Source organism: Homo sapiens, chromosome 1 (assembly GCF_000001405.40).
Source record: "Homo sapiens chromosome 1, GRCh38.p14 Primary Assembly".
NCBI lineage: Eukaryota > Metazoa > Chordata > Mammalia > Primates > Hominidae > Homo > Homo sapiens.
Genome location: NC_000001.11, coordinates 215,663,384 through 215,688,336, shown reverse-complemented (window position 1 = coordinate 215,688,336; position 24,953 = coordinate 215,663,384). Strand labels below are relative to the sequence as shown.

The following is a 24,953-nucleotide window of genomic DNA, read 5'->3' as shown; positions in this document are numbered from 1 at the left end:
TACCATCTAGCTCCTGCTCATCCTTTTGACCTTCTCTTGGGCCATTCTTCTCTCCATCACCCAGCTTGGTCGCACTAGCTCCTTTCTGTCAACAAAAACACCAAGTCTGTTCCCATCTTAGAGTTTCTGTTCTGCTCTTGCTCCCAAAACTTTGTCCCCTGATTCTTCACACAGATGGTGTTTTTCTGCACTCTTGCCTAAATGTAACTTCTTCAAGGACCTTTCTTACCCGCCCTTGTAATCAAGAATTTCATTCACTCTTCCCCAATACCTAAGCCCAAACACTAATTAGTGCACCACCCTACTTATTCCCTTCATAATTTACCACAATTTCCAATTCTCTCTCTATGTCTTGATCTCTCTATCTCCCTCTGTTTATATATTGCCCATTTGTCCTCCTTTATAATGTAAAATTCGGGAAGGTAATGACCTTGCCTCCCTTGCTTTCTATTGTATCCTCAGAGATTAGGAGCATGCCTAGTGTATAAGAAGCTCTCAATACATGTGTGTTTAATCAAGGCTTAAATAAATCTAAAGCTATGGCCCAAATGAAAATTTTTATATGAGTTTTAGTACAGTTTTGCCACTATTTCCATAGAATAGATTATCAGAGTGAAATTGCTGGGTCACAGTGTATGCACATTTTTAATTTTGATAGATCAGAAGTACTGCTTTTTAATATTTAGTGTGACTGATTTGCCACTTTAAAATTTAATTATCACAAATTTAATTTTTTTCCTCTTCTCCTTTGAAAAATGAGGCATTTCAAAACCATTTTTCCCCCAATGTTTTTATGGTAACTGAAGCATCATTGTTCATTTTGCAATAACTCTAGCTTTTGCTTTATAGGTTAAATTGATACAGCCAATTTGTCTATAAAGAAAATGTCTGTGAATTGAGTCTTCTTTTTGAATTGACCCCTCCATTACAAAATGAATGATGTATTCTAAAGAGAGGAAAAAAAAAACCTTCTCCCTTTTCACGTATCATTCTTCTTTTCTGAGTGTAGAGAGTTGTTGGAGTAAAAGCATTAAAGTGATCCCAGTGTTAATATGTGGATCCTCCAAGCTGAACATTTTAAGTTTGAAATTTACAATTGTTATAACAATTGTCCCCTGCCTAATCCATTAGGTGACAGCATTAGCTAGAACCCAGAGCTAGGAATGCTTTAACACTTATGAGTACATTTGAGTTGGCCTCATTGTTACCCAGTCGTCAATAGTGTCCTTAACATTTCCAGCTGCCTCATCACTGTTTGATATGTACAAGGGGCTGGGACAAGGGTGTAGAGGGTTCCACTCAAACATGTCCCCAGTATCAGGAGAAAACACACTTCAGGAAGGCATGGTTCTGATAGTGGGTCAGGAAAGAAAATAGGAAAATTGGTTTTAACACCATTCAGTTATTATACTTCCTGCCTCAATTGAAATCAAAAGAAAAATCCTTGTGTCTAAAGAATAATTACAAATTTTGAAATAGAGTGAACGTTCCATAAAGAAAATTTTAAATCTTTTTTCTAAGAAAATACTTTTCCTATTACCTTGTGCAAATGGCAATCTATACTTATTGGCTGAATAATAATTGAGTTAATTAATTAATTCCTGGCAGATTTATTATTTCATTAGTCACTGACCATGATCTATACCACGATAGGGTGAAATTTAAAAGTTCTTCCATTATTCCTTCAAATTGCATTGCAGAGCTCTTCACACATAATTAGGTCTTAAATTTTTTGCCTAATGTTACTTATTGTTTCCTAACAAATGCAGTTCAAAAACTTTAGAGTGACATTCACAGCCCTCTTTAGTCTTATCACAATCCCCTTTCCAGCCACAATCCCTACTATTCCCCTGCAACCATCACACTTCTGCTTTGTTGAACTGCCACCCAGGTATCTCCAGAACTTTCTACTGTTCCTTCTTCTAATCCTTCATCTATTTTTATCTGCTCAAATTCTACATCTTTCCTGACCTGGATCAAATGCCACGTCTCAATTAAGTCTTCCCCAAGTCCTCACCCCCTTTCTTCTGAATAACAAGTATTTCCTTAGTATTTCTCTGGTGCTTATTATAGCACTGCCACACTGAATTGTGTGTATGTATATACATTATTGATTTGCTCTATTAGATTATAAGTTCCTCAGAGTCAAGAGTCTGTGTTACCCATCTTGTATCTTCCATTGCAATTTTATAGAGTCTTTTGCATAAAAGATGCTCAAAAATGTTTAAAGAAGTAAACCAGCTGCTGAGAAACTGCTAAATGTTTGCACTGAGCATTTTGGCAGCTGTGTCATCCCACTTGGTGATGCTGCCTAGCACATACACACTAAAACAATAGGCCTGAACACTAAACAATAGGCCATGGTCCTAAAGGGTATTTTGTTCTACCTTTCTTGTATTGTGAGTTGATCTTTGATTCCGGAGCAACTCTGCATGTACGTGTTTGCTGTCAAAATAAATGTCTTTTTTGTCTCACCAGCTGAGATACATTTAGGTGAAGATGGCACTGGTAAAGGAAGTGTGCAGGTGAAGTTGGTGAAAATGTTCTGACAATGTTTATATTTTGCAGGCTTGGAAGTCTCATGCCAAGTGAACCATGGATAAGTATTCAAGTTTGATATTTGCCTAATGCGTGGTAAAAAAATAATAATAATAATTTCTGTATCAAGACTGATTTGATGGCCAGGCTCTGTGGCTCATGCCTGTAATCCCAGCACTTTGGGAGGCCATGGCGGGTGGATCACCTGAAGTCCGAAGTTCAAGACCAACCTGGCTAAGATGGTGAAACCCCGTCTCTACTTAAAATACAAAAATTACCTGGGCGTGGTGGCGGGTGCCTGTAATCCCAGCTACTCGGGAGACTGAGGCATGAGAATCGCTCGAACCCAGGAGGCGGAAGTTGCAGTGAGCTGAGATTGCGCCATTGTACTCCTTGCATTTCAGCCTGGGCGACGAGAGTGAAACTCCATCTCAAAAAAAAAAACAACAACAACAAAAAAAAAAAACTGATTTGAATTTTGCAAAATAGTATTAGACATAAATATGTTGATCAACTTTTGGGGAACTTAAAGGTTAACTTTATAAATGGAGAGGAAAAATCGTCCTGCAGAATCCACGCCTCAAATTATCTGGCTTTCAAAAATCTAGAAAAATATTTTGTGTTGATTTGTCTACATTACGACATATAAAAGTCATCCAATTGCCTGGATGTACTCTATCCAAAGTCATGGCTTTTAGATAACAGTTAATGGGAGCTCGAACTGCTTCTCACATTTTATTTGTAATCTAAATCAGAAACTCTAGGTCTCAGGTATAATCATTCCTTATCATTAAGACAAAATAAAATATAATTAATGATAAAGGATCTCGGCAGTTCAACTTAAGAATACAGAGGTTAATATACTTAAATCTAGATTCTTCTGAAGTTCTCTTTGCACAAAAAGGTGAATTTTTGATGTGACTTATTCTCTGGTTCTTGGTATTCATCATAACTAAGGAGGCAAGGGAACCCCGTGACTTGGTTGGGATGCAGAAGCCAAAACTCATCCATTTCAGGATAAAGAGCCCAGGATAAGGGAGAATCATAAATGAAAGACAAAGCCAGAAGAAATCCCACTGGCTTAGAATGAAGTTGATGGTGACCAGGAAGATTAACCCTTTCCAAAATATAATATGGACACGTAATACTCTGTTGATGAACACAAGAGTGCCTATACATCATTGTTTTGGTTCATTACTGGGAGCAGGGTAAAAAGATTCCTAAGGTCTACAGTAAGTGAGCTTAGTGAAAATACACCCCAAAGACCAGAGGGAAAGCTCTGGAAACTGCTGGATCATCAGATCAATAGACTCAAAGATGACTAAGTTGGGAAGCTTTATGCAGTTTAAACATTTGTGCAGGGAGTATCCCCACACAGCCTTTTATTGACAGCTACAGATCAATGGTAATTTTTGATCATTTTCAACTTACATAAACCTATTGACCCCATGGCCACCTTTGGGGCACTTCAAGTCATCAAAAATAATCAGAGGAGATGGTGTAAAATTGTCAGACTGCTGAAGACTCCAAGTAGTTGCATATGTCCCCAGGAGCTGAGTCGAGAGGTTAAAATATAGTTCAAATTGCCAGCAGAACCTCAACTGACAGAGTGTTCCAGAGAGTCTTGTCTTTATGTCTCATAAAATGAGGCACTGATTTGTATCCAAACTCTGACCTTCATGCATATAAAGTTAAAGAAGGAAAAAAGAGGCTGAATCCCATTGAAGATATTAGATTGCAAAGAATGGATTATTCCTAGTAAAATATTTCTTCCTGTTTTTCTTTGTTGAGTCATCTTCTTCATCTGCTGCCTAACAAAAGTAGCTGACATGCTTGTAGAATTACGTACAATATGGACGTGGACATAGAATGAACAAAGACAAAACAGAAGCAAGTGCAAGGTGGCAGGCCAGAAGTCAGGGACAACAAAAAATGTAGTCAAAAAAATCATTAGGAAGAGTGAAAGGAAGGAAAGAGCAAAATAATGGCAATAAAGGGGAAGAAGTAAGAGTATTGAATTAAGATAATCTCTATAGAGGAAAAGGAGTGAGAGAAGAAGGAAAGGGTGAATAAGAAGAAAGAGAAAGGAAGAAACGGAAGAAAAGTGAAGCAAAGGAGTAAAAGGAAGGAAAATCGTCTTTAGTGATGACTTTTCCTAGTTAGTAAGACAGAACGCTACATCTCCAAAGGAAGGAACTGAATCCAAAACATCTAAGATCCACAGTGCTCAAGCAAATATCCTAAATTTAAGAAAAATAACAAGAAACTTAGTACGTAAATGAGAGCCAACCCAATTCACAGAGTGAACTGCATCCAAATTTTGCAGCAGGATTCTAAAATAGTGAACTTTGATGTTGGAAATTCATTCAGGAGAGAATAATATAAATTATTTCCTAAAACGTCAAAGAATAAATTGGCAAGGATTATCTTGTCATTTTTATGTTTTCTTCATTTTTTAATATAGCTTTTACTAAACATTGACAAAAACCATGGCTATTGTTTAGATCTATTTAAGGAGTCTATATGTGGTTTGTGTGTGTGTGCGTGTGTGTGTGTGTGTGTGTGTGTGTGTGTGTGTGTGTATAAAACTATTCAGGAATAACAAAGTAGCCAGATGCAGCAGTGGCTTGCACCTGTAATCCCAGCACTTTTGCGCAGCCAAGGCAGAAGGGTGACTTGAGCTCTAGAGTTGGAGACCAACCTGGGCAACATAGTGATACCCAATCCCTACAAAAAAAGGAAAGAAAGAAAGAAAAGAAACATTTTGTTTTAATTAGCCACACACGGTGGTACATGACTGTAGTCCCGGCTACTCCAGAAGCTGAGGCAGGAGAATCACTTGAGCCCAGGAGTTCAAGGCTGCACCGAGCCATGATCATGCCACACTCCAGCCTAGGCAAAAGAGCCAAAAAATAAGAATAATAATAATAAATTAAATAAATAAATAAATAATGTAATATGAGAACTTGTCCTCAGTATAATTTCATGATACAGAAATTACTTTTACATCCCAACATGTGGTTATTTCTCTCCCTTTTTTTTTTAGATACATGTAGACCAGGTTAAGCAAAACAACTGTTGTAATGACCCTTTGTAGGAGTATACCCCTAAAAATTTTCTGTGCCAGGCATGCATGAACTTCAGCTTGCAACCTACAGGCCATATTTCTATATTAGATGGTGGAGGTTTGGAAGCTAGGGCATTTTGAATACTTCTGCTTTCAAGGATCTGAGCCGTAAATGTTTATTAAACGAATCTATAATGAAATCAGTTTTGTTATTTTTTTAATGGTTGCCTGGAGTGTGTTGGATGACTGAATGCCAGTTGTTAATCATTAAGTACTCATGTTACCAAAAGTGTTTGATAGTATTGCCATCTAGGGGCTGAATGGAATTCTCAGCTCTGAAATAAATTATAATTGAGCAGGTGCAGCTATTGACAATATACATATGTTTTTGCTTTATAGCCCACATGCTTTTCATGTTTCTTATGACAAAAGCTTATGAAAAAATGTCCCCCAGCAGCCCACCTTTTTTATATATAATCTGTTAGAGGTGATTACTATTTGCTTTGGAGCGTATGCTTTTTTGGCATCTATTACTGAATATTCTGAACAAAGAATTATTCTTTTTTGCATTATTAATCTTGCCCATGTTTGCCCTATTTCCACAGAAAAGGAATCATTTATCAGAAAAGAGTGTTTGTAATCGGGACTTGTAGCATCTTCAGATTTAATATTCATTATGGTCATTCTAGTTCTGTGCTATATTTATCTAAAAGGCCAATCCAATGTTATGGAGAAATAAGTTTTTAAATATTTATGATCTAACTTTTAATATTTTAAAAAAGAGAAATTAGTATTTCTGTAAAATTTGTTTCAGAGTCTGATTGCTCAGCAAATGTTTAAATATTAAAAGATTTCAAGAGGTTAGCGTGTAATATCATAATGGGACTTATTGAAATAGGAAAATTGACTTTACAAGTTTTTGATATGTGAAGGAAATTGTATTTTCTCTGCCTATGTTTAACACATAACAAGAAATAACACAGTTAAAATATACAGCCAATAATGTCAGAAAACAGCACCAAAACCTATTTCTACATTGTTTTGTTTTTGTCTAACCAGTTTGTTTGGAAAACAATTCTGTTTGATTTTGTCATCTTGTTTTAGATTTTATCCAAAATGATATTTGGATGCCCCCACACATAATTTTTTCTGATGTTCTTGGGTGCCTACTTTCAGAAATAACTTTCACTACTCCACTTTATATTCTTCTTCCCTTGTTCATCAAGGAAAGAAGACAATTGAAGACCATGTATCACATTCAAACATCTAATAAACCAAAGCAGATCATTGAATGTAAATATCCTACTAACCCAGTCAAAACTTTCTCATGATTTCTTATATCCAATGGGGATGGTACGCAACAGAAAATGCCAGTGTGTGTGTGTGTGTGTGTGTGTGTTCGTGTGTGTGTGTTTACCTATGAACACATTACTACCCCACTTGCATACATAATTCCTACTTTAAAAGGACATATCCTTTCAGTCCAGATGTGGAAAGAGCACCCCAGGGCCTTTAGAAACATTAGGATTCTTAGCTCCAGTTTAGTTATGCCAAATATGTTAATGCTGCTCTCCAAGCAGAAAAACAAACAAATTTTAAAAATCCTAATTAGGCTATCCCTTTTTTTCTTTTCTTTTAAAGCAACAAAGACCAAATTCTCCAAGCCTAGCTAACAATTACTTTTGGTAGGTTTCATAGTTTTACTTATGGTGCTTTTAACAAATGAAAATATTTTTATATCTATATTAATAATAGACTTCTCTAAGGGTGTTTGTACATGTATAGTTGAATTGGCTTGTTACTGTTTTCTTGTGTTTATTTGTTTTATTGAATTCGTAAGATATATATACATGCCAAGAGAATGAGAGAGGGAGACTGGGAAGATGGAGAGTCTTGTGTACAAACAGATTTGGAAATTAGGGGTGTTCAGGTTAACTCTCCAAACCCTTAATATTAACCTGGCAGGCAATTATCCCAGTCTCAGACATGCAGCTTGGCACCACTGATTTCCATTTTGAGCTGGATGCAGCACTGATCTGAAGCATCATGTTTTGTTTTTTTTTTTAATGTTTATATATCACACGCTTTGGGCTGCAAGCACTGAAAAGTCAAGGATGCTATCTGGTCCACTTTCTGAGTGTCTGAAATCATACAACATTGGGTAATATATTCACGGTGTCAACAAGAATAAGAAAAAATGCGTTGTTTTCTTAATGATAATTCAAAACTCTGCTGTAGTGTTTGCGCTGCTGTTGCCTACAAGCTTTGGCCATGAGGTTCAGAGAATGACTTTCCAGCAATATTGTCAGTTTCAAAAAAAAAAAACAACAACTTAACCTGTTAATTTTCTTACAGGGAACAAGCCATCAAGCCCACCTGTACGGGTTAGAACCATTCACAACATATCGCATTGGTGTTGTGGCTGCAAACCATGCAGGAGAAATTTTAAGCCCTTGGACTCTGATTCAAACCTTAGAATCTTCCCCAAGTGGACTGAGAAACTTTATAGTAGAACAGAAAGAGAATGGCCGGGCATTGCTACTACAGTGGTCAGAACCTATGAGAACCAATGGTGTGATTAAGGTAATGTCTACCCTGCATAAGAAATTATGTTTGGTGTTCTCCAGATAAATAGATGAGCCCTGACATGCCATCAGGTCACTGTGGGAAAACTCCCTTCACAGCCTGTTTAATTCTCCTTGATAGCTCCTCCAGGCACTTAATCATAGATCACAGAAACCTAGCTTAGATGTGTGATGCTTCCTATAACCCAACACTGAGCTAAATGCTCTCCATGGATTATCTCATTTAATCCTCACATCAACCCTACTAGGTGGGTACCACCAAACCTCATGAGGCATATGCAGGCTAAGTAACTGCCCAAGCCTACACTGTAAGTAATTGAGTTGGGATTTGAAGCCAGGAACTCACATCAGAACTGAACTCTAAATGACTGTGTTCTTACTGCCTCCTGAATTACCCTACCCAGTTATTTGCTTAAGACTTGCCTAATTTATGCTTCAAACAGAGCTCATTAAGCAAGCCACAGGTGTCTGCTAACTTCCCAACTTCTGTATGTAGCCGTGAGAAACAATGTTATAAATGTTGTATACGTATCTCAAGCTCTGCCAGCCCATGAGTACAGGGGGACTGTATTTTCATGAATAGCCTGCATTTTGATGTTTTGAACCTTCAGCCACACAAAAACCAGCCTTCATCTACCTCTCTGATGTTCCTCCCCAAGGATGGTGGCAGACATACCTGTTAGTTCATACTACTGCCTTTACCTCCAGTCTCTCCTGGCCGTGGTCCATCTCTTAGGCCCTCATCAACTACCTTCTGCGGGCTGGGACTGCAGAGTCCCCCAGCCTGCAGCTGCTATAGACACACTACCCTTTTCTTTGCCACTCCTTCTCCAAGAGGCAGACTCCCACATCAATTCCACATCACAGGGTTGAGACTAAGCTGTTACTTTTAATAAAGCCTCCCTGAAAACCCTAAGAGAGGGATGACAGCAGGAAATTACGTGCAGCAATAACTAAGAACTGTAACTAGAGCTCACAGTCCCAGGTCCATCCTGTGGGCTGCCTCTCTGCCTAGCTTCAAGGCCTGCTGCAAGTAGCAGTAGCAAGCTGCTTCCCACCAGCCTGCCTACATGTGGACAGAAGCCAGACTTCTCCCCCCTGGGGCAAGAGGCTTGAGCCTTAGGATTCATGACCTTAAAATCCAAATCACGGCCCCAAGGCACCCATCAGAAAAGAAAGCTCCTTTTCCCTCAAAGCACTTCTCCTTGTGGGTATTTGGAGTCATGAGAGCATCTGCTTCTTGGTGGCATAATTGACAATAAGAATATTGACTCCTTGGACCTTTATTTACATTTCACCAAATATTAAGCAAATATTTGGTGAAATACTTCTACTAAGTGCCATATACTTATTCAAGAGTGAACAAGACAGTCAGGTTCCCTGATGTTACAGACCGTGTGTGAGTGCACGTGCGTGTGTGTGTGTGTGTGTGTCTGTGTGAATAAATGTGGCAGAGTATATGAATGGTGGGGGTACAGAAAAGCAAACAATAAGCTAGTAAATAAATAAGCAAGGGAATTACTGAGAGCGATGAATGCTATAAAGAAAATTAAATAGAATAATGTAATTATGCCTGCTCAGGCTATTTTAGAATGGAATATCATTTGAATCAAGTTGACATTTGAGCTGAGTCCTGAATGACAAGACAGAGTTAGTCATGTGAGGATATGGGGGCAAAATGTTCCAGACAAAATGAACAGCAAATGCAAGGCCTGAAGCCAGGAATGAACTTGGTGTATTCAAGGAAAGAGAAGAAAGCTAGTGTGTATGAAGTATTTGGGAGAAAGAAAGATGGCACTAGAAGAGGTTGGAGGGACTGGTAGGAGACAGATTGTCCCAACATTGTAGGCTGTGGTAAAGTTTAGAATTTGTTCCAAGTGCAATGAAAAATTACTGAAGGCTTTAAGCAAAGGAATAGCATGATCAAATTTACGTTTTTAAAAATCACTCTGGCTACCCTGTGGAAAATGGACTATATAAGGACCAATGGAGTTTGAGAACTATTAAAGATTTCAAGGTAGAATTGAAGGTGGGTCAAATTAGAGTAGCAGTTGTGAAATCATGCACTATAGGTGAATCGAAGATACATTCAGAAGATAGAGATGACAAAATGTGTTAATGAGCTGAATGAGAGACATGAAGGAAAGGGAGCGCTTTGAGATGAGTTTTGGGTTTAGGCTTTGGGCTATTGATGAGGAAGGGGAGACTGGAAGATGAACAAGTTAGGAGCAAGTAGATAGTGTGAGGTACAAGTCTAAAACTCCTGAGAGTGTTCTTTGCTGGGATAAATGTTCAGAATCCGTTAGCAGGTGGATGTTATATAAACCCATGGTGCCAGAGGAGATCAGCTATGGAGAGAATGTAACTCAACCTGTTGAGAGTCTGGGATCAAGCCCTGAGGCATAAATGTGGGGGTCAAGAGGAGGAAAGAGAGCCAGCAAAGACTGATAAGAGGGAACTAGGCTAGAAGGAAAAGTGCATGAGTGGAGTGTCCAAAAAGAGAAGAGAAAATATGCCAAAATGTTGCTGAGAGCAGAAGTAAAATGAAGGCAGAGAAGCCACCCCGAGTATAGAAATGAGGAGGTCACTGTGATCTCGACAAGGAGAGTATGCAGTAGAATGGGAAACCTGGTTGGCATGGCTGGTTGAGGAGAGAATGGCAAGGGAGGAAGTAGGACATCAACTCATTAAAGCCATTTAGATGAAAAGAAAAGCAGAGAAATGGAGCAATAGGTGGAGACTGTGGGATGGGAAGTTTTATTTAAAATCATTGAAAAATACTAGAGTACATTTAAACACGAATAGAAATAACCAGTAGAGGGAGATAAACTGGTGACGTAGGAGATAATGAGAATAACGGCAGTAGTGAAGTCTTGGGGAAGGAGGAAGGGATGGGATACAGCGCTTAGGTGGCCTTCAGTAGGTACAGAGATATTTCATTCATAGCAAAAGGAGGAAAAGCAAATCATGTAAGTCTAGATTCACATGGATACAGAGGTCAGAATATATAACATGGAGGCATTCTTCTCTAACTGCTTCTATTTTCAGTGAACGATGTGGTTATGTCAACAATCAATCAACGGTGAGGGAGGGAAGAGGGTGTTAGTGGTTAGGGGAAAGGAAGAAATATGAAATAATCACCTGGGAAAATGACAGAGCAAAAGCATGAGGGAATAAAATAGGATTACAAATTGGTAATCGCCTATTTAAAATGTATGGATAGAAGTTTAAAGTGAGACCAATAAAAATGTTTGGGTGTTTTTCTACAAACCCATTTCAGAGCTTGAGTATAGAGGGACAGCTAAATTTTACACTAATTAGAGATTTGCCGGGTGAATATCAGGGGCAGCAAGGGGTGCTTGGGGGGTCACAGAGGCTGCAAGCTAGTTATGGAACCTATGCTCCCTTCAGAAGATATGGCAGTCCCCTTCCCACATGGGGGTGGTCTTGCCCTGGGTCCTCAACAAGAAAATCACACCAACATACAACATTCCAACATAAAGAGGTTTCCAAACTTCTAGGCTGTGTAATCTTAGGGAAAAAATGGAGTATGTTAACAATTTAGTCTAAATTAAGCTTGCCCAAGAACCACTTCTGGGAATGTTTCAAGGGTGTGCCTTCCAAGGGCTGTAAAATGTGTCCTGTCCCCTCTTGAGAGTCACCATGATAGGGAGTCATCGAAAGGAGTGTGTCATCTCTCTCAGGTTTGTTGGAGCAGGAAAAGGTTGGAAAATCACTGTTCAAAAACACCTGCATTCAGATTAACTTACTTCCCATCTTTCAAAAAAAATGAAAACTTGCTCTACATTTGTACAGTATAATAAGCATTCAGATGTTTTTTTCCAGAACAAAAGACTACTTTGCCCCCAAAGGAGCAATCAGTTCTTCCATGGCCTGGAAGAGAAAACAGGGTGTTTTTTTCCATCCCCTAGTCATAAAGATTTATATACATGTATATATGTACATGTATATATATGTATGGATATTTGTACTTATGTATAAAATATAGGTGTCTGTGTGCCTAAACACACACACACACAAGCATACTCTTTCAGCCCTGGCACTCTGTAACAACAAATGATTAAGCGTTGTAATTCCATTTCCCAGCAAATGCCGTGGAAGGTAGACCCTACTTTAGTCAGTATGAGATCAGAAGCAGTTCATATCCATAAAACAGGAGACTTTAATACTATTCTCTACTTTAAAAAAATACAAATAGGAGAAACCTTGTGAATACCATTTAAGTCAAAGAATCTGATTCAATAGCCCTTAGTTTTGAGATAAATGTTTATGTAGTTCCCAAACTGAAAAAAAAGAAAAGAAAAAGGCAAAGAAAAACATTGTTTGTCTCTCTGTGGGCCTTATGTTAACTGAAAAAAATCACATATCCCCAATTAATATCAGAATACTTCTTCTAAATTAGGGTCATCAAAATAAGGAACAAGGGGGTGAAGGTTAAAAAGGGGCTAAGTAACTACACAAAGAAATTGTATGCTGCAAGTTATCCCTTTTGCTTCTGTCCTTCTGTAGACATACAACATCTTCAGTGACGGGTTCCTGGAGTACTCTGGTTTGAATCGTCAGTTTCTCTTCCGCCGCCTGGATCCTTTCACTCTCTACACACTGACCCTGGAGGCCTGCACCAGAGCAGGTTGTGCACACTCGGCGCCTCAGCCTCTGTGGACAGATGAAGCCCCTCCAGACTCTCAGCTGGCTCCTACTGTCCACTCTGTGAAGTCCACCAGTGTTGAGCTGAGCTGGTCTGAGCCTGTTAACCCAAATGGAAAAATAATTCGCTATGAAGTGATTCGCAGATGCTTCGAGGGAAAAGCTTGGGGAAATCAGACAATCCAGGCCGACGAGAAAATTGTTTTCACAGAATATAACACTGAAAGGAATACATTTATGTATAATGACACAGGTTTGCAACCATGGACGCAGTGTGAATATAAAATCTACACTTGGAATTCAGCTGGGCATACCTGTAGCTCTTGGAATGTGGTGAGGACATTGCAAGCACCTCCAGAAGGTCTCTCTCCACCTGTGATATCCTATGTTTCTATGAATCCCCAAAAACTGCTGATTTCCTGGATCCCACCAGAACAGTCTAATGGTATTATCCAGTCCTATAGGCTTCAAAGGAATGAAATGCTCTATCCTTTTAGCTTTGATCCTGTGACTTTCAATTACACTGATGAAGAGCTTCTTCCTTTTTCCACCTATAGCTATGCACTCCAAGCCTGCACGAGTGGAGGATGCTCCACCAGCAAACCCACCAGCATCACAACTCTGGAGGCTGCTCCATCAGAAGTCAGCCCTCCAGATCTTTGGGCCGTCAGTGCCACTCAAATGAATGTATGTTGGTCACCGCCCACAGTGCAAAATGGAAAGATTACTAAATATTTAGTTAGATATGATAATAAAGAGTCCCTTGCTGGCCAGGGCCTGTGCCTGCTGGTTTCCCACCTGCAGCCTTACTCTCAGTATAACTTCTCCCTTGTAGCCTGCACGAATGGAGGTTGCACAGCTAGTGTGTCAAAATCTGCCTGGACAATGGAGGCCCTGCCAGAGAACATGGACTCTCCAACATTGCAAGTCACAGGCTCAGAATCAATAGAAATCACCTGGAAACCTCCAAGAAACCCAAATGGCCAGATCAGAAGTTATGAACTTAGGAGGGATGGAACCATTGTATATACAGGCTTGGAAACACGCTATCGTGATTTTACTCTCACCCCAGGTGTGGAGTATAGCTACACAGTAACTGCCAGCAACAGCCAAGGGGGTATTTTGAGTCCTCTTGTCAAAGATCGAACCAGCCCCTCAGCACCCTCAGGGATGGAACCTCCAAAATTGCAGGCCAGGGGTCCTCAGGAGATCTTAGTGAACTGGGACCCTCCAGTGAGAACAAATGGTGATATCATCAATTATACCCTCTTCATCCGTGAACTATTTGAAAGAGAAACTAAAATCATACACATAAACACAACTCATAATTCTTTTGGTATGCAGTCATATATAGTAAACCAGCTGAAGCCATTTCACAGGTAGGTAGCCATGTCTCGGTTTTCTGAGAGTAAGCCACTGCTGACCTTTCTATTGCCTGAGCCCTTGGTCAGTTCTAATGAAGACTCTAAAAATGGGATGCAAGGTGTCCCCAACCTCCATCCACCTAAACGTGCATAGTAGACAAAGCACATCCTCACCCAAGCAAAGCCTGCTTGCATAACCTCCAGAGAGCAGAATTCTTTCAGGTGATGTTTTGAGAGTCAGTGTTTCAGAAAGGTTTGCAATGCATCCTGGTATCTGAAATAAGTAGGACAGAGATGAGGCTAGTCCCCCTGGAAATACGCAGGCCCCTGGACAGTTCTGACAGCCCCGATAGGGTCATCTGGCCAGACTGTGAAGAAAATGATGTATTATTTTAAGGTTAAAAAGTGCCAATCAATGAGCGCAATTACCAGCCAGAGTTAGACTAAAACAAAATTTGTTTCGTGAAGAGCCTTCTTATCAAATCCAGCACTTCTTCCAGGAATAATAAGGCTTCTCTGACTCTACTTTCTTATGGTTTCTCAGGACAGTGCCACTTTGCTAGCTCATGTTTTCCTAGCGGTCCCATCTGGGCTCTGTGACATGCATGGAAGTGCGTTGTTCTCCACACAAAAGAATCTTGCCCATTGTTTAAATAATTGTTTGGCAGTTTTCCCCATCACATTTTAAGTAACTTACATCCCCAGAGAGAAGGGTAATAAGAGACATTTTATGCTTAAAATTTAGTAAAATGAACAGAATCACTTAAAAAAATTAAAGGCTGAAAGAGTGTTGATTTCCAACTACCTCAGGTAAAATTCAGCTATTATTGTAATCTAGTGATGTGTAGATTAGATCCTCCTATAATTACCTCTGATATATAGTGCTGTTGAAATGAAACATTCGTGGTTTTATGCATCTACTCATGACAATTATTTAGGGTCTATTAAATATTAAACAGTAATTAAAACTTCCTCAGGTATCCTCTGCAGCTAATCCACATGCTATGTGAGTTGGCTTTTATATTACCTTACACTGATTCAGGGCATTAAAAAGGTCCACTGTAGCTGCAGAGCTGTATATTCTAGACTGGCTTCCTCTTTACCTGACTGTACCTCCAACTTTCAAAAACCATATCAATTTGCTCCCTTTTGAAACTCTTATTCAAAAAGTATTCTAGAGGTGAAAGAGTTTGTCCAGGCATGAAAGGAATGCTTTTTCCAGGCTGGAAAGAAAAGTTTAATTTATCTGATAAATTGCAAGGATATTTAAGAATGTGAGAGAAATCTCTTCATTATCCACTCTAACTGAATCTGTAAGTGGCATTGACATAAAACAGAGTATCACTTCTATATGAAGTTGGAGTTCATGCGTGGTTTTTTGTTTTTGTTTTTAGTGGATTAATGTTCACTGAATATTGCAAATGTGTGTGTCCTCCTTTCAGCACCCCCAGCTGGTCAGTAAGAAGAAATAGTCTGGGAAAGTCCTAAGTAGCAGAAGGAATCCAGCCCAAAATTTAAAAACTACCACGGATAACCCAGAAAATGAATAATCTTTATGTGGGAAATCAAAATTGACTTCACAGAATTGCTTAGAAGTCAGATCTACCATACACAGCTATGGATTTGATCACCAATAAACTGGTAGCCCTGTCATGGTGGAGATCGGCATGAGAGGAGAACCAGGGGAGGAGGAGAAGAAAGTGGGAATAAAATAAGTCACAAAGGGAAAAAGGTGTAATTAAGAAAGCAAAAAGGTGGAAGAGACAGAACATGTACAAGAACAGAAAGCAGTGATTCAAAGAGCAAAGAGGGGAGGTAGAAAATAGAAGAGGAAAAGGCTAGAACTAAAAGGAATAAAGGTAGAAAGAAGATAGCTGGGTGCCTGCGGGAAAATTGAAGGTGTCATAAAATCAATGGTGGTTGGGAATAGAGAAAAAAGTGCTCATTTACAGCCATAGGCACTAAATACTCACAAAAACTCATTTTGTTGGAAAGGAGAAGTCCCTGCTATGTAAATAGACCTTTTCAAGTAGCAGAGACCAGCTATGAGGCAAAACATAATTGATTAGTTGAATTTAACTGGATGGTGATAAGGTGTCTTCATGATTGATAATCTGGTGTGTAGTTGGGTTAACTTTGGCCCCGCAAGGTCTTTGTATCATGTAAGGGAGGCTGTTTTAAGCTGTTAGGTATCAGGTGAGGGGATTTATTACCACTGAGACCGTAATTCCATGATGTTCCTTCATGACCTGGAAACATTCCTGGGGGATCATTCCATGATGTTCCTTCATGACCTGGAAACATTCCTGAGGGATCATTTAGCTCTAGCTGCAAAGGTAGGAGTCCAGGACTGCTGAGAACTGCTTCATACTTTCTAAGGTCTGCATTCTTCATTGCTATGTTAAGTAATTCTGAAGAGTACCAGAATTTTCATGCCGGAAAGAATCTTGAGAGTTATTTATTCCATACATCCTTGTTTAGGGGAAGAATTGCACTCACCCCTTTCGAACAGATCAGGAACTTTAGTTTAGAAAGCCAGGGGGATTTTGATTGTTCAAAAATTTCCATGGAAATATAATTTTTTTTTGAGACAGAGTCTTGCTCTGTCACCCAGGCGGGAGTGCAGTGGCGCAATCTCGGCTCACTGCAAGCTCTGCCTCCCAGGTTCAAGCCATTCTCAACTTTGTTATTCTTAAGAATTAGCTGTGAATAAGAATACATGTAAGCTTGTCTTTTTTTTTTAAGGCCTGGTGTTTTAAAGATTCTTCCCATGAAAATCTATTTTGCTGAAAATCACTAATTTCTGCCTTATGTCCTGAAGGTATGAAATACGAATTCAAGCGTGCACCACCCTGGGATGTGCATCAAGTGACTGGACATTCATACAGACCCCTGAGATTGCACCTTTGATGCAACCCCCTCCACATCTGGAGGTACAAATGGCTCCAGGAGGATTCCAGCCAACTGTTTCTCTTTTGTGGACAGGACCGCTGCAGCCAAATGGAAAAGTTTTGTATTACGAATTATACAGAAGACAAATAGCAACTCAGCCTAGAAAATCCAATCCAGTCCTAATCTATAACGGAAGCTCAACATCTTTTATAGATTCCGAACTATTGCCTTTCACAGAGTATGAGTATCAGGTAAGAAATGTGTATTATAAACAATTCGAGCTGATTGTTTGCACCCGTCAGCACCTGCCTGTAAAAATGGTGCACAATTTGAAAAGGCACTTAAAGAAATGTAGGACTTAAGGAGAATAATAATATTCCTTAAAAATTTTTAAGTGGTAAATGAGGAAAAACCATGTTCATTGCCTTTTTCATTTTCTTGGTTTTTGAGCCATATTATATACGTTGTTTTTCTTAAGTAGATTCCAGGTGAATTTGCATTTCTTATTAGTAAAGTGGTTTCTGCCATTAAGATTCCCTCTGTCAGCGTTGCCTTGGTAGGAGACACTCCTTATTTAAAGATCACTTTGAAAATAACTCATTACTCGTACCAAAATAAAATCAAATAGCAAACATCTCTAGCCTCGGTGCTCAAGAAAGATACAGAATGTTGAAAAAAGTCTAGAGGAATACAACTCACCTGCCCATGGCGATGAGTTAAGTTTTCTCTGAGGATGGCCTAAAAAAATAAGACTGCATTCTTAAAAAGCCAAGAATTAAGAATAATATTCAGAAAATATGGTGAATTCTGTGGAGGACTTCTGTTAGGTTTGTTTTGTTTTGCCATCAGAGTCCATTTGCATTCTTCTTGTGATAACAACCTCATTTCCTGTGGGAGAATGTGCTTCCCCCACCCTTTGCTCAGGCGTGGTGGGAGTGTCAATCAATGTGTCAGGCTGTCTTCTAGCCAAGTGGTGGGCACATGAGCCGCTCAGCCCCTCAGATTTGCCTGGGGCTTGATCTTCAGCAGAGTGACTCAGAATTTTAAAAGGTGGAGGTGAGAAGTCGTGATAAAATATCCCTAACCTCAATCTAAAAGTTTTTCTTTTCCCTGCTATTTCCAAGCATGGTTCTTCAACCGTTCTTTTAATTCCATAAACTCACAGTAAATTCTCATTTGCTTAAGTCAGAATCAGTGCCTCTTGCTTGCAGTCAAAGAAAGCTTACTGACTGATGTAAGCACTTAAGTGCCAGGAACAATGCCAACAGAAATTTTCTAAAAGAGGAAACTGAGCCTTAAAAAGCTTATTATAACATGAAATACTAAAAATAATAAGTCACCAAAAAGATAGTGACCAAATCAATGAGTACAGTGAATACAGGGAACATTTTAAGCATGAAAAGAATATTTTAGGACAATAATGTATGGGACAAATTACCGAATTAATAAGATTTAAAAATATAAATAAATTCTCGAATGGTTTGGAAAAATACACAGATATAAATCCATAATCCCTTGTTTGCAATTCCAAGTCTAAAAATCTCTTAAAAGTATTTTCTTGCTTTACCACAAGTCATTTGGCAACAAAACCCAATCTAAACAGACTTGAGACTATTTACAGTATTTATTTATCCCATTTAATATGAATATTTATATGTTTTGCTACAAAAATATTGCTTTATTATAAGATGGCTAATCAGATCATGGTATGGATATTACAAAATATACAGTATATACATTTTATCCTATTTCAAAATCTAAAAACAAAATTATTTTAAAACACATCAGGCCCCCAAGGGTTTAGGATAAGAATTGTGGTTTATGTCATAAAGGAACAAAATACTTACCGATGCCACCATCGGAAACGTAACACTGTTAGAAACAGCCAGAACCTACGTGCCTGCCCTTTTGTTCTTTTCTCATTACCTTTATTGAGAAGTGTCACGTTATCAAGCTGTCAGTTATCTAGTCTCCCTTACAAATAAAAATGGTACCTTCGTGAGAGAGCTGGATGAAATCAGCATAAAATCTTCAGCCGCTAATTAAACGCAACTTAATGACCCATATATAAGAAACACAAACTTTCTCTGGTATTGTGTTGTGTCATTGGGTTAAATTCTGGTCACATGATCTGTGGAAGTCTCATTCCAGTTTTTGTTTGTTTGTTTGTTTCTTTGTTCGAGACAGAGTCTCGCTCTGTCACCCAGGCTGGAGTGCAGTGGTGAGATCTCGAGATCTCAACTCACTGCAACCTCTGTCTGCCAGGTTCAAACGATTCTCCTGCCTTAGCCTCCAGTGTAGCTGAGATTACAGGCATGCACCACCACACCAGGCTAATGTTTTTTTGTATTTTTAGTAGAGACAGGGTTTTGCCATATTGGCCAGGCTGATGTTGAACCCCTGACCTCAAGTGATCAGCCTGCCTTGACCTCCCAAAATGCTGGGATTACAGGCATGAGCCACCATGCCAGGCCCCATCCCAGTTTTCTATGGAATGGAAAGCTCCAAGCATGTGCCTTGTCTCTAGTCAGATTTTTCATCAGGCACTAAGGATGACTAAGAACAAAGGGACCCACATTTCAGAGGAGAGGCAAGTTAAGAACCTTAGGCTGTGTGGTTTCTTTTGTAACTGTTACTATCGGCTCTGTGTTACACTCCTCCTCCATACTCATCTCACTCAAATGAAAGTATTTAATTTGGTTTTTGATCTCCAATTTTTATTTATTAGCTAATCCCACGTAGTTACAACATAAGGATAGAAAACAAAGAAAATCAAAATCTAGCTTAGCCCAAAGGCCCAGTTCTTATGGAAAATAATATTTTGAAAAGCATAGATTAAATGCTGAAATAAATGATCAGAAAATATTAGTTTCATTTAGCCTGTGTAAATATTGAGTCTATGTGGACCCTGAGTAATCTTACAGAAGTCATTTAGGAAGTTATATACTAAAACAATTTATTTTTCTTTAACAAAAGAGCATTTTTGTATTTGTGATGAATTTGCATTGCTCTCAAAACCACTTGAGGGTTACTTCATCTGCAAGTGGCCTTTGAAAATACCTTCATTGTCCTATATAAATCTGCTCACCCAGCAACTGACAGTGATTTCACCCTTCTGCAGAGGAGTGTGTTTTTGAGGTAATTGTAGATTGTAGGGAATAAAAACAAAGACCTGAGAAACTTCCTAGCAGTGGGGAAGGATTAATCAGAAGATCGTGAGGATGTATAGTTGGGGAGGTTGCCACCCACATGGTGTGCCTTGCAAGTATCAGCTGGGGCTCCCCACCACCTTCCTACACTACATTACATCATTGTACTCATTTCTGGTTTTGAGTTAAATCATTGAAGGCAGTTGTTAAAATTTAGTTATGTGAAAAGAACAAGACAGTTTTCACTAGTCTAAATCAACTCATTCCATCAGTTGGCCAGTGATAGAAGAGGGTATCGCATGGATAAGTTCTTTTGTTTTTCTTTCTTCTTTTTTTTTTCCTTCTTCTTTGTTTTTTTCCTTCTTCTTCTTTTTCTGAGACACAGTCTCGCTCTGTCACCCAGGCTGGAGTGCAATGGCACGATCTTGGCTCACTGTAACCTCCGCCTCCCGGGTTTAAGCAATTCTCTGCCTCAGCCTCCTGGTAGCTGGGATTACAGGCGCCCGCCACCATGCGTGGCGAATTTTTTTTGTATTTTTAGTAGAGACGGGGTTTCATCATCTTGGCCAGGCTAGTCTTGAACTCCTAACTTCGTGATCCACCCACCTCGGCCTCCTAAAGTGATGGATGAGTTCTAACGGGCAGGAGGGTCAGGAAATATCTGGAGAAATGGATACTTATAGAGAGGGAGGAGCTACTCACTGCAGAAAACCAAAGAGGGAAATTAAATGAGCAGCAAATGTCACTCACCTCACCACAATTCATATAACCAGCTTGATAACTAGCTCCTTTGAAGGTGAGCAAAATCCATGTGATATCACAAGCACCTTCTAAGTGTTCACTAATACTTCAATATGGAATGCCCTAAAGGTAGCATCCCCACTGTTTACAGTACAAGTGGAGGACCTAAGAGCTTGTTCAAAGGGCAGACTCCTGGGTGGAATGGGAAGGGACCCCAGCAACCAGTATTTTTTTTCTTTTTTTGAGATGGCATGTCACTCTGTGGCCATGCTGGAGTGCAATGGCGCAATCTTGGCTCACTGCAACCTCCAACTCCCCGGTTCAGTCAATTCTCCTGCCTCACCCTCCCAAGTAGCTGGGATTACAGGCACACACCACCACGCCCAGCTAGTTTTTTGTATTTTTAGTAGAGATGGGGTTTCACCATGTTGGCCAGGATGGTCTCAATCTCCTGACCTCATGATCCACCCGCCTCAGCCTCCCAAAGTGCTGGGATTACAGGCGTGAGCCACCGCGCCTGGCCTAGCAACCTGTACTTTTAACAAGCAGCCTGGATAGTCCACAACCCACTTTTTTTTGGAAATACTGCCTCAGAGGGTGAGACATTGCTGCTATGCTACTTAAGCCTTATTTTCAAGCGGTGATTTTCTGAATCAGTGGTTCTCAGCTTTGTGCATTAGAATCACCTGGGGAAATTTCACAACATTCTGGGTGCTGATACCCAGTCCCCATTCCCCTGTAGTTCTGATTCTGGGATGGGTTCTGGAATCCCTGCGATTCAAAAGGTTCCCAGGTGATTCTCATGTGCAGCCAGAGTTGAGAATCACTAGCCTAAACTGTCATAAACAGCCCAAATAAGTGAAGCCAGCTCCCCACAAATGCCTAATTTACATGATGATCATTGATAATAGCCTATTGACGTTGGTCTATCCTGGCTTTCCTAAAGAAGGGTCCTATTGTTTTGATGTGAAACTAGAAAGGAGAACAGAATATATTATCTACAAAGTCCATGTCTCAGCTACTCATATAATTTATTTTAATCTTCCTCATGGATTTTATTTGGATTTTGTTATTGTTGTTTTATTTTCTTTTGTTTCTTACTTGGGAGGTCCGGTCTTTGGTGGTAAGAGTAAAGTTCACCATCATTTAAAACAGGGGATTTTTCTAGTTTGAGTCATTTCAGCATAGCTTCCAGAATTCTGGGATTCTGAAGGATAACACTCTGGAGGATTAGCTTTAATAAAGCCAGTGAGATCTAAAATATGAATCAAAAAATTAGGAATATTACTTTTTCTTGTTTTCCACAAGAATGGGTTGGTGGCTTTACAGAGTGCACTGCAGGGTCCCATTAGAAAGCAAACATTCTCTGTGAATTTCAAATGCAACTTAGTTTACCAAAATCTAATTCTCAAACAACCCTGTGAATGTATGTTCCATGCATAAATGCGATGCATCTGTACTAAATAAAATTCTTCCATTGCACAGACCTCTTCCTTAAACAGAGATCACAGTCTTGCTTGTGCTACAGAATATTTACAAATCCAAGAAGATTTTTTTAAAGACAATAATCATTTCTATCTTCAACCCTTTCAAAATTGGGCTATTCTAATACATGCAGTGTGAACCTCCAAATTCTATGTGGAGCAGTTCTTAACTGTTTAGCAGCAAATTAAGACAATATTTTTCCCACAGGCTTTGAGAGGGACCTGGGTGTGAGTCTACTCTGTTAAGACATTTTGGTTTTTACCTTTGGGGAGTGAGCTGAGGCTAATGAATAGCTCTCAGTAATTGTGCATTCATATTCATACTCTTGCTTAAGGCAAAGACTCACCACGGATTTGATAGGGCCCGCCACCACCCCCCCTTTCACTGATTCATGCTGTCAGTGACTTAATTAGTTTTCCTGAAACTATCTCACTTTGACAGATTTTTGCGGTAAGCACCCACGCACACTCAGGGTCTCTGAAGCATTCTGGTGCCTCATGACTGGGTGACTGAGAAGCAGTAGGTCAGTCTTAGAGGAAACTCTGTGACTCATGGCATGGGGTCTGAACTTAGGGCTAGTGCTGCAGGAGCCCATGCAGAATGGCAGTCTGCTGCTTTCTAACAGACCAACACTGCCCCCAAACAAGAGGATGGAAAGAAGGGCTGTGGAGGAGACACAGAAGGGGATCCTCACTGTTGCTGCCAGTGGCAGCTGCCTGAAGACTGCCAGAGGTACTGTGGAGGCCTTCCCTGCACCAGCCCCCACCATAGGCTACCAAATCGTTGGCGATGAGTTAGAAGTGGGAGGGAGAAAGGCCAACATCTTCTACTCCTTCTCTCACTACTTCTGGATATTTGAGCACATTAACCTCTTTGGGCCTTTCCTCATAATATAAATTAGGCCTGCTATGATGGAATATCATAGACTGGGTGGCTTTAAATAACAAATATTTATTTCCCACAATTCTAGAGGCGGGAAAGTACAAGGTCAAGGCACCTGCAGATTCAGTGTCTGGTGAGGGCCACCTTCTGGCTTACAGATAATGGTCTTCTCCTTATATCCACATATACCAGGTAGAAGAACACTAGTCCCCTTCATGAGGGCTCCACCCTATGCAACCTAATAACCTCCCAAAGGCCTCCATACCATCATATTCAAGATTAGCCTTCAACATATGTATTTGAAGGGGACAAAAACAGTCAGTTCATAGCACTCATCTATAAAAGGAAGCACCCTCCAGCTCTGTATTCTATGGGCAGAGTAGTGGTAAGCTACAGGTATATAATTTTTAGAAAGTCTAATCAAACTTTATCTTCTCTTGATTGGTTTTTGTAATCTACAGTTTGTAAAACCCTACAAAATAAATTCTCACCCAAAGCAACAGAATTTTCTAATGGTATTTAGCTTTAAGTTGTGTTGATGCAAGTGAATGTATGAAATCAGCTTCAGATAATAAATGGATATATGGTTATTCATCACCAAGATGGACACATGGAAATATAATTAGTTGTGTCTCTCATTGAAACCTAACATATTTATTCACTAATATATTTTTTAAAGTATAGCTATATTATAACATATGAATGTAAATAAATAATAAACTTATTTAGTTAGCTACAAATAAGTCTCATTTATGTTCCTGAGAAAACCCACACTATCAAAAAGTTGTCATGACTATTTCACTACAAGTAACAGAAAGCCAATGTAAACTAAGTTAAACAGAAGGGAATTGTTTCTGCTCTCGCATCTGGGAAGGGCATTGAAGGAATCCCTTGAAACCAAAGAAAAGATATGAACACCAGGTCCTGGAAACCTGGGATGCAGGACTCGGATGATGTAGGATTCATTCATTCTGTCCCTCCTTGCCCCATCTCAGCTTGTCTCTGTTTGGCTTCATTCTGCACACTTTCACCAGGCATCTGAGGAAATCACTCCCAGATTCAAGCCCTTTCTGTGCATCAGTTTTCTTGTCTTTAAAATGTGAATAGATATAGCATTGGACTCATAGGCTTGCTCTGAGGTTAAATGAGTTAATATGTGAATGTGCTTGGAACAGCACCTCATACATAGAAACCACTTCGCCCATATAACAATAATGATTATTATTATTACCCATCCACCTTAGAGTGGAAAGAGGACTATAAGTCAACCAATACAGGACTCTGACTGATCCTTTTGCACTACCTGCCTTCCTGTGAACCAAGAGAACAGAGGACTATGATTGAGCAGGTGTGGTCGCAGGGCCCACCTCCTACAGGCAGGGCTGCATGAGGTATGCGGGAAATGCTTCCAGCCAGAAGCAAGAACTGCCCTAGCACGCTACACACACCAACCACGGGAACAAGTACTCCACACCTGTGAGATATTGACAATCCTTGTGCTCTTTCACATTGGATGCTCACACCCTTCCTGTTTTCCAAATGAAGAAGCTGAGTTAAGATCACATAGCTTGTGCAAGAAAGA

The 24,953-nt window shown here is 39.6% G+C and overlaps 1 protein-coding gene across 1 annotated transcript in view; it reads left to right on the top strand.

Moving 5' to 3' along the window:
* USH2A (usherin) overlaps window positions 1–24,953 on the top strand; it is an 800,558-nt gene that overhangs the window by 735,112 nt on the left and 40,493 nt on the right. The window contains exons 62-64 of the mRNA NM_206933.4: window positions 7,961–8,188; window positions 12,721–14,237; window positions 17,044–17,365. Of these exons, the coding sequence (NP_996816.3) occupies window positions 7,961–8,188; window positions 12,721–14,237; window positions 17,044–17,365 (2,067 nt within the window). The remainder of the gene's footprint in view (window positions 1–7,960; window positions 8,189–12,720; window positions 14,238–17,043; window positions 17,366–24,953) is intronic.